The sequence below is a fragment of the Homo sapiens genome, chromosome 7 (genome assembly GCF_000001405.40).
Source record: "Homo sapiens chromosome 7, GRCh38.p14 Primary Assembly".
NCBI lineage: Eukaryota > Metazoa > Chordata > Mammalia > Primates > Hominidae > Homo > Homo sapiens.
Genome location: NC_000007.14, coordinates 73,808,966 through 73,825,838, shown reverse-complemented (window position 1 = coordinate 73,825,838; position 16,873 = coordinate 73,808,966). Strand labels below are relative to the sequence as shown.

The 16,873-nt window shown below is 50.9% G+C and overlaps 3 annotated features.

The window, feature by feature from the left end:
- Positions 2,388-3,587: an enhancer, noted in NCBI's record as "MED14-independent group 3 enhancer chr7:73236582-73237781 (GRCh37/hg19 assembly coordinates)". NCBI's record gives its function as "activates an origin of replication core promoter dependent on BRD2, BRD4, P300/CBP and CDK7 cofactors, and independent of MED14, by STARR-seq in HCT116 cells {active_cell/tissue: HCT116}" and the evidence as "EXISTENCE:reporter gene assay evidence [ECO:0000049][PMID:35650434]".
- Positions 5,382-5,960: an enhancer, noted in NCBI's record as "OCT4-NANOG hESC enhancer chr7:73234209-73234787 (GRCh37/hg19 assembly coordinates)". NCBI's record gives its function as "activates a minimal SCP1, AML or CMV promoter by ChIP-STARR-seq in primed H9 embryonic stem cells {active_cell/tissue: H9 hESC(primed)}" and the evidence as "EXISTENCE:reporter gene assay evidence [ECO:0000049][PMID:30033119]".
- Positions 13,843-13,952: a silencer, noted in NCBI's record as "silent region_18267". NCBI's record gives its function as "represses an Ori minimal core promoter by ATAC-STARR-seq in GM12878 lymphoblastoid cells {active_cell/tissue: GM12878}" and the evidence as "EXISTENCE:reporter gene assay evidence [ECO:0000049][PMID:35858748]".

Genomic DNA, 16,873 nt, shown 5'->3' with positions numbered 1-16,873 from the left:
GCATGGTGGCGTGTGCCTGTGGTCGGGAGCTGCTCGGGAGACTGAGGTGGGAGAATCGCTTGAACCCAGGAGGCAGAGGTTGCAGTGAGCTGAGATCACACCACTGCACTCCAGCCTGAGCGACAGACCAAGATCCTGTCTCTTAAAAAATAAAAAACAGTAGGCCGGGCACGGTGGCTCACGCCTGTAATCCCAGCACTTTGGGAGGCGGAGGTGGGCGGATCACGAGGTCAGGAGATTGAGACCATCCTGGCTAACATGGTGAAACCCCATCTCTACTCAAAATACAAAAAATTAGTCGGGCATGGTGGTGGGCACCTGTAGTCCCAGCTACTTGGGAGGCTGAGGCAGGAGAACAGCGTGAACCTGGGAGGCGGAGCTTGCAGTGAGCCGAGATCACGCCACTGCACTCCAGCCTGGGAGGCAGAGTGAGACTCCAACTCAAAAAATAAAAAATAGTAAAGGATGGAATTTTTTTCTTTCTTTAGGCAACAAGATCCTATTTCTTTCTGAAGTCCTTGAGCTCAGATTGGAGTCCTGGCACCAGGCTGAACAGGAGAGTCCCTGGCCCTCAGCCTGACCGCCCACACCAGCGGACCATCCACCCCCTCGGCCTGGTGCTGGGTGATGGCAGGCCTGGCTGACCAGTCTGGCGAGACTGGCTGAGCGGGTGCTGCCCCCAGGTTGGGCACCACGTGGGCCGTGGGTGGGGGCGGTGGCCACCTCTGGGGTTTCTTCTAAGGAAGAGAAGAAAGACCATACTGATGCCTCCTGGCTGGAGTCCCAGGGTCTGGCACTTCTGGTGGCAAGGATGGGGAGAGGGGCTGAGCAAAGGGAGGGGACTCGGTGAGAGAGCTTAGTTAGAGAGACTCAGAAGAGATGACTGTGTGAAGGGGAGGAGGCTTACACAGGGGACAGGACTTAGAGGACCGTTGTTAAATTACTTTACCCCAAATCGGTGCATCGATTTCAGTTTATGTCTGTCAGTTTCAAAACACCTGGCCAGGCATGGTGGCTCATGCCTGTAATCCCAGCACTTTGGGAGGCTGAGGCAGGAGGATTACTTGAGGCCAGGAATTCAAGACCTACCTGGGCAACATAGTGAGACCCTTTTTCAAAAACAAATTTTTTTTTTTAATTAGCCAGGCATGGTCGCATACACCTGTAAATCCCAGCTATTCGGGAGGCTGAGGCAGGAAGATCACTTAAACCCAGGAGTTGGAGGCTACAGCGAGCCATGATCATGCCACTGCACTCCAACCTGGGTGACAGAGCAAGACCTCATCTCTAATAAATAAATAATTAGCAAGCCCGTATTTACCGTGACCTTCAGCATTCCCACCATCCTACCCAGCTGTCCAGCCCTTCACAGGCCATTCCCCCACTTCACAGGGAGGTCCATAAACCCTCCTTCCCACCCACCTCCCCGACTCCCTCCGGCTCCCGCCTCCTCACTTCAGGGCAGTCCTGTCTCTACTGGATTTTACTCCAATTTCCCAGAGGCGAGGGAGGAAGAGGACCTAAGGGCGGTGGAATTCCTGAAGACCCTCTAATCTGATGGAGGAGTCAATCCTCTCCAGCCCCACCCCTCCCTCTCCCCATTCAGGGCAGCCTCCTCCTGCCAGGCACCTCTGCCCTGGCCTCTCAGGGAGCAAGCCAGCCAGTAAACCATGTTTTGAGCACCTGCTTCGGGGCCAGGCACTAACCTAAATGCCTTCGGATAACATTGAATAACAGGAAGTCATTTTATCTCACTGCAAAACAGTGCAGGGGCATCATTGTTGTTCTCTTGTTTTTGTTTTTAAGACATGAAGTCTCGCTCTGTCACCCAGGCTACAGTGCAGTGGCACAGTCGTAGCTCACTGAAGCCTCAAACTCCTGGGCTCAAGAAAACCTCCACCTTCAGCCTCTGGTGTAGCTGGGACTACAGGTGTGCACCACCACACCCAGCTAACTTCTTATTTTTTTGTAGAGACAGGTTCTCCCGATGATGCCCAGGCTGGTCTCGAACTCCTGGCCTCAAGAAGTGATCCTCCTGCCTCAGCCTTCCAAAGTGCTGGGATTGCAGGTGTGACCATGCCTAGCCCATTCCCATCTTAGAGATGAGAAAACTAAGGCTCTGGGAACTGATGTGACATTCCAGGGCCACCAGAATAATGGCAAGACTGGTATCCACACCCTGCCTAATGTCTGATTCTGGGGCTCATCCTCTACCCCTACTCTCCTATTTATTACTCTTCGTCTTTTTTTATTCCTTCATTCTTTCTGGAAGGACATGCTGAGCGCACTGGGCCAGGCCCAGGGCTGGCATGGAGCTCATCAGGGTGTAATCAGGCCAGCCTGAATTTAAATAAACAGCTCCCACGCAGGGAAAACAAGCTCTGTGTGAGCACTGGAGAGTGAAAAATCAACTCTACCTGGGGCACACCAGGCAGGATTCCTGGAGGAGGTGGCAGGTGGAGAGGAGACCTGAAGGGTGAGTAAAAGCTTAGAGACCTATGAAGAGGAGAGAGCTCTCGCAAAAGGAGAGTAGCAGGGACAAAAACGGGTGTGTGTGTGGGGAGGAAGTATCTGTGGAAAACTCAACTTGAGGAGTCGGAAGCCAGACAGGTGAGGGAATAGGGCTGGAAAGTAAGTTGGGAGCATCGGTGTGGGCCTCAAGGGCGCAACCCAGGAGCTTGGGTTAATTGGAGGGAGAGTCAGGAGGGTGGCCTTGCTGTGGGCTGGGTGATGGAGGACAGAGGAGGTAGGGCTTCACTGGGAGGGTGTCCCTGTCTCAGGACCAACCAGGACTCCCAGAGAAGCCCCCCTGGTCCCAGGCCAGGACAGGTCTTGTCACCAGTAGGCAGAGCAAGGAGCTGGGATCGTCCTATCCTGCTTCCTCTTGGAATATCGGAGGATGCCAGAACACAGAACCCAGAAGCCGGGCACACCCCTGAGGATGACGGTTTACAGAGAAGCTGTCTGCTTCTGTGACACACCAAGAGGCTGAGAGAAACCCGCACGCTGACCAGGAGACTCCTAGGTCGGCAGCCCATGAGTCAGCAGTGACAGAGCCAGGGACAAAACCAAGGAATCCGGGATCATCAGCACCATCTCACCCCATTTCGGGGTGACTCAGAGATCGTATTATCCCTCCCGGCACAGAGGCCCCAGGCCTGGCCTCTCTCCTGCCCTGTGTCCCCGCCCCATCTCTCCCACGTCTCCCAGCATGGATGGGTGGACACCAGCCACGCCCTCTCCTGTCACACACAGATACTAATCTCTTGCCTTCTCAGAGCCCAAGAAGTCCAGCTGCCAGATCTTTGCCCTATTGCCAGGTGTACCTACTGACCCAGCCCTGCCGGAGCCCTCATTCCCTGCCAGCTCCCATGTCTGGATCATCTCAGGCCCCTGGAAGGGCACACCCCTCTCTGACCTGTCCCCTCCCCTGGGGAGCAGGAGGCAGGGTGGGGCCAGGAGCAGCCACACTGGTGATTAGGTTTGAGCTTTGTAATTTTTCAATTTTTTTTTTTTTTTTTTGAGGCAGAGTCTTACTCTGTCACCCAGCCTGGAGTGCAATGGCGCGATCTCCACTCACTGCAAGCTCCACCTCCCAGGTTCAAGCGATCCTCCTGCCTCAGCCTCCAGAGTAGCTGGGACTACAGACGCCCGCCACCATGCCCGGCTAATTTTTGTATTTTTAGTAGAGACAGGGTTTCGCCATGTTGGCCAGGCTGGTCTCAAAATCCTGACCTCAAGTGATCCACCCGCCTTAGCCTCCCAAAGTGCTGGGATTACAGGCGTAAGCCACCACGCTCAACTCAATGCTCTTTTTATATCAGGGCGTAAGCATTGTGGCTTGAGCTTTTGAAGTGTGCTTCAGCGCTCACCCACAGCACTCATCTCCCACCTCTTTTCCTCCCTCCCTCCCTCCCTTTATGCTTTCTTGCTTCTCTCCAACTGAGCAGGGGGAGTGTGGATGCCCAGGGGCCTGCCAGCTGCCACCCAGTTGGTGTCACTACCCCCCCAGCATCAGTCTCCATCCCCATGTCCCCATACAGGCTGGCTCTCCTCACCCACATCCGTGCAACAAGCATCCATGTTTATTTTCTTTCAGTCAATTTCATTCCCATTCTTTGCCATCTCAGCAGGCTGGCAGAGAACTCACAGTCAGTCCTTCCTGTAGCTCCCACTCTGACCTGGATATATGCGGTCCCAGGACATCAGGAAGGGAAGGCCCTCACTTGTCCCATCAGCCATTGCCAAGCTTTGGCTGCCATAAAAACCTCCAGGCTTCAGTTTGTGTGATGTCTTCAGGGCCTGGGGCTCACTGGCCTTGCAGTCACACTGAGGAATCAGAAATCACTGGTGGGACCAGACGAGGTGGCTCACGCCTGTAATCCCAGCACTTTGGGAGGTCCAGGTGAGAGAATCACTTAAGGTCAGGAGTTCCAGACCACCCTGGGCAACATAGCAAGACCCTGTCTCTACAAAAAAAAAAAAACAATTTTTTTAAAGATTTTAGGCCGGACGTGGTGCCACACAACTGTAATCCCAGCACTTTGGGAGGCCCAGGTTGGTGGGTCACTTGAGGTCAGGAGTTCGAGACCAACCTGGCCAACGTGGCGAAACCCCGTTGCTACTAAAAGTACAAAAATTAGCTGGGCGTGGTGGCATATGCCTGTAGTCCCAGCTACTTGGGAGGCTGAGGTGGGAGAATTGCTTGAATCCAGGAGGCGGAGGTTGCAGTGAGCCAAGATCACGCCACTGCACTCCAGCCTGGGCAACAGAGGGAGACTCCGTCACAAAAACAAACCAACCAACCAACAAAAAATTAAAATAGTTGTTATTGGGGTCTTTGTGAATAAAACAAAAATAAAATGGAGGCCGGGTGTGATGGCTCATGCATGTAATCCCAGCGCTTTAGGAGGCCGAGGTGGGCAGATCACAAGGTCAGAAGTTAGAGACCAGCCTGGCCAACATGGTGAAACCCTGTCTCTACCAAAAATACAAAAAATTAGCGGGGCATAGTGGAAGGCACCTGTAATCCCAGCTACTCAGGAGGCTGAGGCAGGAGAATCACTTAAACCCGGAGGCAGAGGTTGCACTGAGCTGAGACTGCACCACTGTGCTCCAGCCTGGGCAACAGAGCGAGATTCTGTCTCAAAAAAATAAAATAAAATGGAAAAAAAAAGAAGAAACAAAAAAATCTGTAATCCCAGCACTTTGGGAGGCCAAGGCGGGTGGATCACCTGAAGTCAGGAGTTCAAGACCAGCCTGGCCAAATGGTGAAACCCCATCTCTACTAAAAATACAAAAATTAGCTGGGCATGGTGGCGCACGCCTGTAATCCCAGCTACTCGGGAGGCTGAAGCAGGAGAATTGCTTAAACCCAGGAGGCGGGGGTTGCAGTGAGCCGAGATCGGGCCACTGCATTCCAGCCTGGGCGACGAGCAAAACTCTGCCTGAAAAAAAAAAAAGTGTTTTTTTTAGTTTAAAAGAAGTTTTTAAACTCCAAAAAATGTATGCAGATACTTCTGCCCTCATGGCGGGGAGAATAACATGAGTATGGGCTGTACAGGGTGACTTCGTTCCAAGGGGTGCAGCACAGGAAGGGTAACATTACAGCGGAGAAAGCTGGCAATCACTGCCCCAGCCAGGAGATCAAAGTCAACATCAGTAGTTATTTGTCATGCTAATAATCTATACTCGTGATAGAATGTAAAGCAAATGGCACTTTACCTGTGATCTTTCTCCTAAAAACCCATAATCCTAATCTAATCATGAGAAAAACATCAGACAAATCCCAAGACAGGAGCATCTGCGATATAGCTGACCAGCACTCCTAAAACCTGAAGATCGTCATAACAAGGAAAGGCTGAGACACTGTGGCAGCCAAGAGGAGCCGTCGTTACGTGATGACTAAATGTCACCTGGTGTCCTGGGTGGGCTCCTGAAGCAGAAACAGAACACTGGGGAAGAGCCATAGAAATCAATATATGTAAACGAATGCAAATATGTGTAAATAAATGTAAATAGTATGTAAGTAAGTGTAAATTGTATGTAAATAAATGTGATATGGGATCCCAGATGAGATCCTGGAACAGAAAAAGACCATTAGATAAAAAACTGTGTGGCTGGGCAAGGTGGCTTACGCCTGTAATCCCAGCACTTTGGGAGGCTGAGGAGGGAGGATCACTTGAGGTCAGGAGCTCGAGACCAGCCTGGGCAACATGGTGAAACCCCGTCTCTACTAAAAGTACAAACATTAGCCAGATGTGGTGGCGGGTGCCTGCAGTCCCAGCTACTCGAGAGGCTGAGGCAGGAGGATTGCTTGAACCCGGGAGGCGGAGGTTGCAGTGAACTAAGATCACACCACTGCACTCTAGTCTGGGTGACCGAGCCAGACTCTGTCAAAAATAAATAAATAAATAAACAAAAAAACCTGTGGCAATCCATATAAAGCATACACTTCAGTTAATAACATTGTATCAATATTGATATCAACATTGGTTCATTAACTGAAACAAATAGGCAGTATTAATGTAAGATTTTAATAGTAGGAGAAAGTGTGGGGATACACAGAACTCTGTATGATCCTCTCAATTTTTCTATAAATCTGAAACTGTTCTTAAAAATAAAGCCTGTAGGCCAGGCCCAGTGGCTCACGCCTCTAATCCCAGCACTTTGGGAGGCTGAGGCAGGCAGACCACCTGAGGTCAGGAGTTCGAGACCAGCCTGGCCAGCATGGTGAAACCCCGTCTCTACTTAAAATACAAAAAAAATTAGCCAGGCGTGGTGGCAGGCATCTGTAATCCCAGCTACTCAGGAGGCTGGGGCAGAAGAATTGCTTGAAACTGGGAGGCGGAGGTTGCAGTGAGCCGAGATTGTACCACTGCACTCCAGCCTGGGCAACAGAGCGAGACCTGATCTCAAAATAATAAATAAATAAAAATTTAAAAAATAAATTAAAAAATAAGAGCTGGAAGAAAGAAAGAAGAGGCCGGGAACAGTGGCTTGAGCCTGTAATCCCAGCACTTTGGGAGGCTGAGGTGAGAGGATCTCCTGAGGTCAAGAGTTTCAGACCAGCCTGGCCAACATGGTGAAACCTCGTCTCTACTAAAAATACAAAAATTAGCCAGGCGTGGTGGCACTCAACATAGTTCCAGCTACTCAGGAGGCTGAGGCACAAGAATCACTTGAACCTGGGGGGTGAAGGTTGCAGTGAGCCAAGATCGTGCCACTGCACTCCAGCCTGGGCAACACAGCAGACTCCATCTCAAAAAAAAAAAGGAAGAAAGGAAGGAGGGAGGAAGGGATGAAGGAAGGAAAAAGGGAGGGAGGCAGGGAGGAGGGAGAAAGCAAGGGAGGGAGAGAGAAAGGAAAGAAGGAAGGGAAGGAGGGAGGGAGGAAATCAAAGGAAGAAAGGAGGGAAGCTGAGCCCCAGCCTCACCTCCTCTAGGGAGACTTCCTGGCTTCTGCTTGGGCAGTAAAGGGGCATTGAAGGAGCCAGCGGGCAGGACTCAGTACTCAACGTTGCTCAAGTTCCAGAACCTCTGGTGGAGAATGTCCTGTTCATAGGAGATGCATGCTGAAGTTCTGGACAGTCAATTGTCATGATGTATTCATCTAGCTTTCAAATGGTTCAGGAAAAAGCGAAGTGCGTGTATGTAGGGAGAGAAGAGATAGACTGCAACCATAGTAATGTTAGCGTTTGGTGAACTGGAGCAAAGGGCATCTGAAAGTTCACTGGACTATTCCTGCAACTTTTCCGTAGATTTTTTTTTTTTTTGAGATGGAGTCTTGCTCTGTTGCCCAGGCTGGAGTGCAGTGGTGTGATCTCGGCTCACTACAACCTCTGCCTCCCAGGTTCAAGTGATTCTCCTGCCTCAGCCTCCCGAGTAGCTAGGATTACAGGCGCCCACCACCACGCCTGGCTAATTTTTGTATTTTTAGTAGAGACGGGGTTTCACCATGTTGGCCAGGCTGGTCTTGAACAACTGGTCTCAAGTGATCCGCCCACCTCGGCCTCCCAAAGTGCTGGGATTACAGGCTCAAGCCACCGCACTCAGGCTTCTGTAGCTTTTTAAGTTTTTCTTTTTTCCTCTTTTTTTTTTTTTTTTTTTGATACAGGGTCTCACTCTGTTGCCCAGGCTGGAGTGCAGTGGCGCCATCTTGCCTCACTGCAACCTCAACCTCCCCAGGCTCAGGTGGCCCTCCCACCTCAGCCTCCTAACTGAGACTACAGGCACATGCCACCACACCCAGCTAATTTCTGTATTATTTGTAGAGATGGGGTTTTGCCATGTTGGCCAGGCTGGTCTTGAACTCTTGGGCTCAAGCAATCCACCCACCTTGGCCTCCCAATGTGCTAGGATTACAAGTGTGAGCCACTGCGCCCAGCCAGCCTGGTTTTAAGTTTGCAAAATAAAAACTGGAGAGAAAAATTAAGAAGGGGAGAGTCAGGTGAGTGAGTAGGAGGAACTCACCTCCTAGGTGGAAAAACATGTGGCAAAGGCCCGGAGGCATGGGAGAGCTGGGGTAGGACCTGGGGCCTGGGAGGTGTGGCTGAAAGAAGGTGAGAGAGGGCAACTGGAGGTGGAGGGGCCGGTGCTATGGTTTATGGTTTCCATATTTGTCCACTTGAAATCTCATGTTGAAATTTTTTTTCCCGAGATGGAGTTTTGCTCTTGTTGCCCAGGCTGGAGTGCAATGGCGTGATCTCGACTCACTGCAACATCCGTCTCCCGGGTTCAAGTGATTCCCCTGCCCCAGCCTCCTGAGTAGCTGGGATTACAGGCATGCGCCACCACACCCAGCTAATTTTTGTATTTTTAGTAGACACAGGGTTTCACCATGTTAGTCAGGCAGGTCTCAAACTCCTGACCTCAGGTGATCCGCCCACCTCGGCCTCCCAAAGTGCTGGGATTACAGATTTGAGTCACCTCACCCAGCCCAGTGTTGAAAATTGATCCCCAGTGTTGGAGTTGGATCTGGTGGGAGGTGTCTGGGTTCTGGGAACAGATCCCTCATGAACGGCTTGGTACCATTCTTGCAGAAGGGAGCGAGTTCTCACTCTTAGTTCCTGCAAGAACTGGTTGTTGAAGAGAGCCTGCCACCTCCTTGCCCCACTCCCCACCAACTCTCTCTACCTTCTTCTGTCATCATGTGATCTGCAAACACCTTTGGAAACTTCCTGAGGTTCTCACCATAAACGGGTGCTGGCTGGGCGAGGTGGCTCACGCCTGTGAATCCAAAGCTTTGGGAGGCCAAGGCTGGGGAGGATTACTTGAGCCCAGAAGTTCAAGACCAGCCGGAGCAACGTAGTGAGATTCCATCTCAAAAAAAAAGGACATTTTTTAATTAGCCAGGTGTACCAGTGCACACCTATAGTCCCAGTTACTTGGGAGGCTGAGGTGGGAGGATCACTTGAGCCAAGGAGTTGGAGGCAGCAGTGAGCTAGGATCTCACCACTGCACTCCCACCAGGCAGCAGAGTGAAACCTTGTCTCTCATAAAGAGGCAGATTTCGAGACCAGCCTGGCCAACATAGAGAAACCCCGTCTCTACTAAAAATACAAAAATTAGCTGGGCGTGGTGGTGAACACCTGTAGTCCCATCTACTCAGGAAGCTGAGGCAGGAGAATTGCTTGAACCCAAGAGGTGGAGGTTGCAGTGAGCCCAGATTGCACCACTGCACTCCAGCTCTGGAGGAACAGAATGAGACTCTGTCTAAAAAAAAAAAAAAAAAAAAAAAGCAGCAGATGCTGGCACCATGCGTCCTGTACAGCCTGCAGAACCATGAGCCAAATACACCTCTTTCCTTATAAATTTATCCAGCCTTGGGGGGAAGGGGGAGGGATAGCATTGGGACAAATACCTGATGTAAATGATGAGTTAATGGGTGCAGCACTCTAACATGGCACGTCTACATATCTAACAAAGCTGCAGGTTGTGCACATGTACCCTAGAACGTAAAGTATAAAAAAAAAAAAAACCTTATCCAGCCTCAAGTATTCCTTTATAGCAGCACAAAAGGGTCGAAGTCATCCAGAGAAGCCAGAATCTTCAGGGTGAGATGCTGAGAAGAGCTTCAGTGCAGGTGTGCCAGCCCAGGGACAGTGCGGGGACGGCAAGGGGACAGAGGCAGCAGACGATCAGCTCAAGGCAGGATGGACCTGCTTCCTTGCCTGGCTTCCTCATCCAGCCCATCCTTGCCCAGGCCCCAGAGCTACCCAAGGGCTGGGTCATACCAGCGAACACACACACAAGGCTCTCCCTGTCCCCATGTCCCCAGCTCCGTGACCACCAAAGCCACAATTCCCTGCTCTCTCTCCAGCATCTGACCCAGCACCCTGTACGTCTGGCTTCACCGCTTTTGGGGATGTGGCATTCCCTGTCCCATCTAACATCACCATGGATGAGTCTGGTCCAAAATGACCTTCCCAATTATTTCCCTTCTCTGTGTTCTGGATGGACTGGGGAGAGATCAGACCTTTTTATCTTGGAGGACAAGGCCAGTAACAATTATTTATTTATTTATTTATTTTTATTTTTGAGACGGAGTTTCGCTCTTGATACCTGGGCTGGAGTGCAATGGCGTGATCTCGGCTCACTGCAACCTCCGCCACCCGGGTTCAAGCAATTCTCCTTCCTCAGCCTCCCGAGTAGCTGGGACTACAGGAGCACACCACCACGCCCAGCCAATTTTGTATTTTTAGTAGAGACGGGGTTTCTCCGTGTTGGTTAGGCTGGTCTCAAACTCCTGACCTCAGGTGATCCGCCCACCTCGGCCTCCCAAAGTGCTGGGATTACAGATGTAAGCTGCTACACCCAGCTCTTTTCTATTTTTTATTTTTTAGAGACAGGGTCTTACTCTGACACCCAGGCTGGAGTACAGTGGTGCGATCATAGTTCACTGCAGCCCTAATCTCCTGGGGCTCAAGTGACCATCCAGCCTTAGCTTCCTGAGTAGCTGGAACCACAGGTGCATGCCAACATGCCCAGTTAAATTTTTTTTTTTTTTTTTGGTAGAGGCAGGGTCTTGCTATGTTTCCCAGGCTGGTCTTGAACTCCTGGCATCAAGTGATCCTTCCACCTTGGCCTCCCAAACTGCTGGGATTATAGACATAAGGCACTACACCCAGCTCTTGTTTGTAGTTTCTCTTTGTAGTGATGAAAATGTTCTAAAATTGACCGTGATGATGGTTGCACACCTCTGTGAGTATCCTAAAAGCCATTGAAATGTGCATTTTGAAAGGGGGAATTGTATGATATGTGACTTCTATGTCAATAAAGCTGCTTCAAAAACAATAATTAGCACTTCTCGAATGCCTGTCCAATGCCAGGCTGGCCCCCCACAGACACTATTAACCCGCAGGACACAGAAGCTTGGTGGATTAAAGTGACTCACCCAGAGTCACACAGCTAGTGGAGTTAGAATTTGAACCCAGAACCACTGGTAAACAGTTATAGCTCAATAAAGCTGCCTCAGCTATTCTGGAGGCTGAGGAGGGAGGATCACTCCGGCCCAGAAGTTTTTGGGGTTTTTTATTTTTGTTTTTGAGATGGAGTCTCACTCTGTCACCCAGGCTGGGGTACAGGGGTGCGATCTCAGCTCACTGCAACCTCCTCCTCCCAGTTTCAAGCAATTCTCCAGACTCAACCTCCCAAGTAGCTGGGATTACAGGCACATGCCACCAAGCCCAGCTAATTTTTGTATGTTTAGTAGAGACAAGGTTTCACCATGTTGGCCAGGCTGGTCTCGAACCCCTGACCTCAGGTGATCCACCTGCCTCAGCCTCCCAAAGTGCTGGGATTACAGGCATGAGCCACCGTGCCTGGCCCAAGCCCAGAAGCTTGAAGCTGCAGTGAGCCATGACTGGGCCACTGCACTCCAGCCTGGGTGACAGAGTAAGCCCCTGTTTCTTAACAAAAAGAGAAATTCCAAACCCTTTATCCCTATTCCATATATTTCATATATCCCTAAGTGATTAATCTTTCTGTCATGATGGATTTGCCTATTCTGGACATTTCAAAGTAGGCATGGAATCATAGGTCTATGAAATGTCCAGAATCATGGAATCAATAATCACATATTATAGAGGCTTTGTGTCTGGTTTCTTTCACTTAGCATAATGTGTAACCAGGGTGTGTAACCATAACAAGCATCAAGTCTACCCAAGTTTGTTTCCAAGACATTACTGAGCCCCAAACTCACTTATGCTAGGGAGGAACTCAGAAACCCATAGGGCAGTTCTCCAAGGGCTTCTGGTCAGGCCATGGACATTCAGGAGGTGGTCAGAGCTGCCTGAGATGACGCAGGGCTGTGATAAGGGTGTGGAGACACAGCAAGGTAGTGGAAATTCAGGGTTCCTAGGTCCAGCATGTCCAAAAAAAAAAAAAAAAAAAAAAACCACAGCCTGCTAAAACAAAAATATCAACATTCTCCATAGAATTGTATAAAGATCCAGATTCCTATATCCTAATATTTAAAATATCTTGGAGACACTCCAAAATTACTCAGCATACAAAGAGCCGGGAGAATTTCAACTCACAGGAGAAAAGACTATCAACAGTGGTCAATGTTGAGATGACAAAACATTGGAAATATCAGATCAAGACTTTAAAGCAATTATTATCAAAATGTTGCAAGAAAGGCCAACACTCTTGAAATCAATGGAAATATAGAAAGTCTTTGCAAAGAAGAGAAGATGTAAAGAAGAGCCAAACAATTTTTTGTTTTCTTTTGAGACAGGGTCTCCCTCTGTCACCCAGGCTGGAGTACAGTGGCATGATCATAGTTCACTACAGCCTCGACCTCCCAGGTTCAAGTGATCCTCTCACGTCAGCCTCCAGAGTAGCCAAGACTACAGACATGAGCCACCACACTGTCAATATTTTATTTTTTTGTAGAAATGAGGTCTCGCTATGTTGCCCAGGCTGGTCTCAAACTCCTGGTCTCAAGAGATCCTCCCGCCTCGGCCTCCCAAAGTGCTGGGACTACAGGCATGAGCCACTGCACCCAGCCCCAAACAGAAATTTTACATGTCTGTAATTCTAGCACTTTGGGAGGCAAAGGCAGGAAGATCTCTTGAGTCCAGCAGTTCAAGACCTGCCTGGGTGACAAAGCAAGACCCCATATCTACAAAAAAATTAAAAATTAGCCAGGCATGGTGGCTTGTGCCTGTGGTCCCAGCTACTCGGGAAGCTGAGATGGGAGGATTGTTTGAGCCCAGAAGGAGGCTGCAGTGAGCCATGACTGCACCACTGCATTCCAGCCTGGGTGACAGAACAAGACCCTGTATAAAAAATAAATAAATAAATGAAAATAAAAAAATTTAAATAAAGTTTAGAACTGAACAATATAATAACCGCAATGATAAAACAAAGCCAGGCTGGGCACGGTGGCTCAAGTCTGTAATCCCAGCACTTTGGAGGCCAAGGCAGGTGGATCACCTGACGTTAGGAGTTCAAGATCAGCCTAGCCAACATGGTGAAACCTCGTCTCTACTAAAAATACAAAAATTAGCCGGGCGTGGTGGTGGGTGCCTGTAATCCCAGCTACTCAGGAGGCTGAAGCAGGAGAATCGCTTGAACCAGGGAGGCAGAGGTTGCAGTGAGCTGAGGTCGCACCACTGCACTCCAGCCTGGACGACAGAGTGAGATTCCCTCTAAAATAATAATAATAATACAACAAAACCTTGAATGAGCTCAAAAGTAGAATAGAGATAATGAAGTCAGTGAACTTGACGTAGATGGGGAAAAAAGCAAAAAACCAAAAAGTCAGTCAAATGGTAGCTAATTCCTATTCTAAGCAATGCACCCAACCATAAATCCCTGTCCAGAAGGAGCAGGGACCTCCAGCAAGTAGGCAGCGTCCCTGGCCATGGTTCTGGCAAACGCTGTGTGTCAATGCTCTCCTCAAGGCTGGGCCAGCCCACGGCCGCGGTGACTCTCCCTAGAGTCGCCCTCGCCTGTTTGCTTGTGGGAACTGCAGCATCCAGGGTGTCCCACACCCGTTGATGGGAATTTTGAAAATCGCACCTGTGCTAGTGGCAGGTGGAGGGGTAGAGAGGGAGAATTGTAACCGGCTGCCCCAAACACCCCCAAATTGGCTGTTTTAATGGTGAGCCAGAGGTAGGATTTGGAAATTCTTCTTCTTTTTTTTAATGAGACGGAGTCTTGCTCTGTCATCCAGGCTGGAGTGCAGTGGCAAGCTCTCAGTTCACTGCAGCCTCTGCCTCCTGGGTGCAAGTGATTCTCCTGCCTCAGCCTCCCGAGTAGCTGGGATTACAGGCACACGCCACCACACCTGGCTAATTTTTGTATTTTTAGTAGAGATGGGGTTTCACCATGTTGGCCAGGCTGGTCTGGAACTTCTGATCTCAGGTGATCCCCTCGCCTCAGCCTCCTATAATCCCAGGCGGGAGCCACCGCACCTGTCTGTTTGCAAATTCTTTTGACAAGTTGCTCATCATGGTGAAAAGTAAAAGTTGCCCAGTGCTCTGTATATGGCTAAGGCTGTGGGTCTATCCTTCCCAGGGTCTGGCTGGGAAGGTGATGGCTGCCTGATTCCTGGACTGGGCACGGTGCCCCCTTGGGTGTTTGCGGACGGCACAGCAAGTGTGGCCAAGGCTCTGGGAGAGGCTGAAGAGGTGGCCACCCAGGGGCAGGACTGCCAGGTCCCTGGGAAGGTCAAAAGGCAAGAGGGTAACCCACCCTTGGGGGAGCAGCTATGGCCCCAGGAGTAGGGGAGGATCCCCAGTGGAGGCAGGTGTCACTGCAGCCCTGGGCTAATGGGCTCTGGAAGGTGGGGAGGGGGGTGGGGGCGAGAAAGAAGGGGAGGAGGAGGAGAGGCGGGAGCTGTTCTGAGCCCCTGGGGTGATGTGATTGGCATTGCGGCCCCTTCCTCCTCCCCTCCCCATCACCCTCTCAGCCCCAACCACCCCACCAGGGCCTGGGAGGATGGCAGAAACCCCAGCCACATGTTCATAATGGAATAGAGAGCCAGCCAGGCCAAGACAAGCTGGCAGACCCCAGACATGCCCTGCCCCCACCCTGAGCCCCTTCCCCTCTCTTAGCCGCCTCGCCAAGCCAGGCCCTCCCACCCCAGGGAGCGAGAGGGCAGGGAAGTGACAGGACAGAAGGGTAGGGGACTTTAAGAGGGAGGGGCAGTGGAGGGAGGGGGTGCGGGGGAACTGGGAGGGGAAGGGTCTCCAGGAGAAGAGGAGCTTCAGATAGGGGAGGGGGCTCTTGGAGAGGAATGGGGCTCAGGGAAGAAAGGGGAGCTTACAGAGGGGAGTCTGGGAGTGGAGGGGGCCTGGGGCATAGTCCTGCAGGGGAAGGGGCTCCTGGTGGGCAGAGGGGCTTAAGATATAAACCAGATGTGGCCAGGCGCGGTGGCTAATGCCTGTAATCCCAGAACTTTGGGAGGCCAAGGTGGGCGGATCACTTGAGGTCAGGAGTTCGAGACCAGCCTGGCCAAAATGGTGAAAACCCATCTCTGTTAAAAATACAAAAATTAGCCAGGGCATGGTGGTGCATGCCTGTAGTCCCAGCTACTCAGGAGGCTGAGGCAGGAGAATCACTTGAACCTGGGAGGCAGAGGTTGAACTAAGCCAAGATTATGCCACTGCACCCCAACCTGGGCGACAGAGCTCGACACTGTGTCAAAAAAAAAATATATATATATATATATATATGTATGTGTGTGTGTATATATATATATATATATGTGTGTATGTGTGTATATATATATATGTATGTGTATGTGTGTGTGTATATATATATATATGTATGTGTATATATATATATGTATAAACCAGATGAGACCAGGAACAGAACAGCCCCCAAGGGTGGGCTCTGGTTTCTGGCCTTAGCTGGAGCTGGGTCCCTGCTGGGCTGGTTTCCCTCTGGGCTGGGCCCCATCTGGGCAGTGCCCTTGGCACGCTCCCAGGCAGCCCCCAGGCTTGGTTTCAGCAGGTCCGGCTGAAAACGGAAGAAACCAAGCTTGGGCAGGGCCTTTTTATGGCTCCCAGTGAAACCGGGCCCTGGGGACAGGGAAGAAGCTTCTCCAGGGCAATGGCGGAATGGTGGGGGTGACTCACTCCTCCCGTCCTGGCTCTGTGACATCTCAGAGCCTGGGAATTACCCAAAAGCAGCCAACCTGGACGGGCCGAGAGAAAACAGTTCCACCCCGCCCTGGCCACTCTCACCTCACCTTCCCACCGTCACTCACACGGAGGGACACGCCACGCCCGGAACTGAGGATACCAGGAATGAGAAACACACACCCTCTCACACAAGCACGAATCCACCTCGAAAGCCAAACACGCCCACCCCATCCCCGGACAGACAGAGGCCACACACGCGCGGCCCTCTGAGCCCCAAACCAAACTCCTCACCTCAAGAGTTCTGCTTCTCAGATGGCCAGTTTAAGAGGCTGCTTAGGGGGCCGGGTACGGTGGCTCACGCCTGTAATCCTAGCACTTTGGGAGGCCAAGGCGAGTGAATCACCTGAGGTCAGGAGTTCGAGACCAGCCTGGCCAACACAGCAAAACCCCGTCTCTACTAAAAATACAAAAATTAGCTGGGAGTGGTGGTAGGTGCCTGTAAGGCTAAGTCAGGAGAATAGCTTGAACCCGGGAGGTGGAGGTTGCAGTGAGCCGAGAAGGCACCACTGCACTCCAGCTGGGGCAACAGAGCAAGACTCTGTCTCAAAAAAAAGAGGCTGCTTAGGGGCTTCAGGGAGCTGGACAGAGAAGGTAAGGAGACTAGGGGCAACAGAGACAGGGAAATGGCAACTGGGGAGGGGCGAACGCCAGTGACCCCACTGCACAGGAAGAAAAACACAAATTGAGTTACGTGGCTTTTTGTTTTTTTGTTTTTTG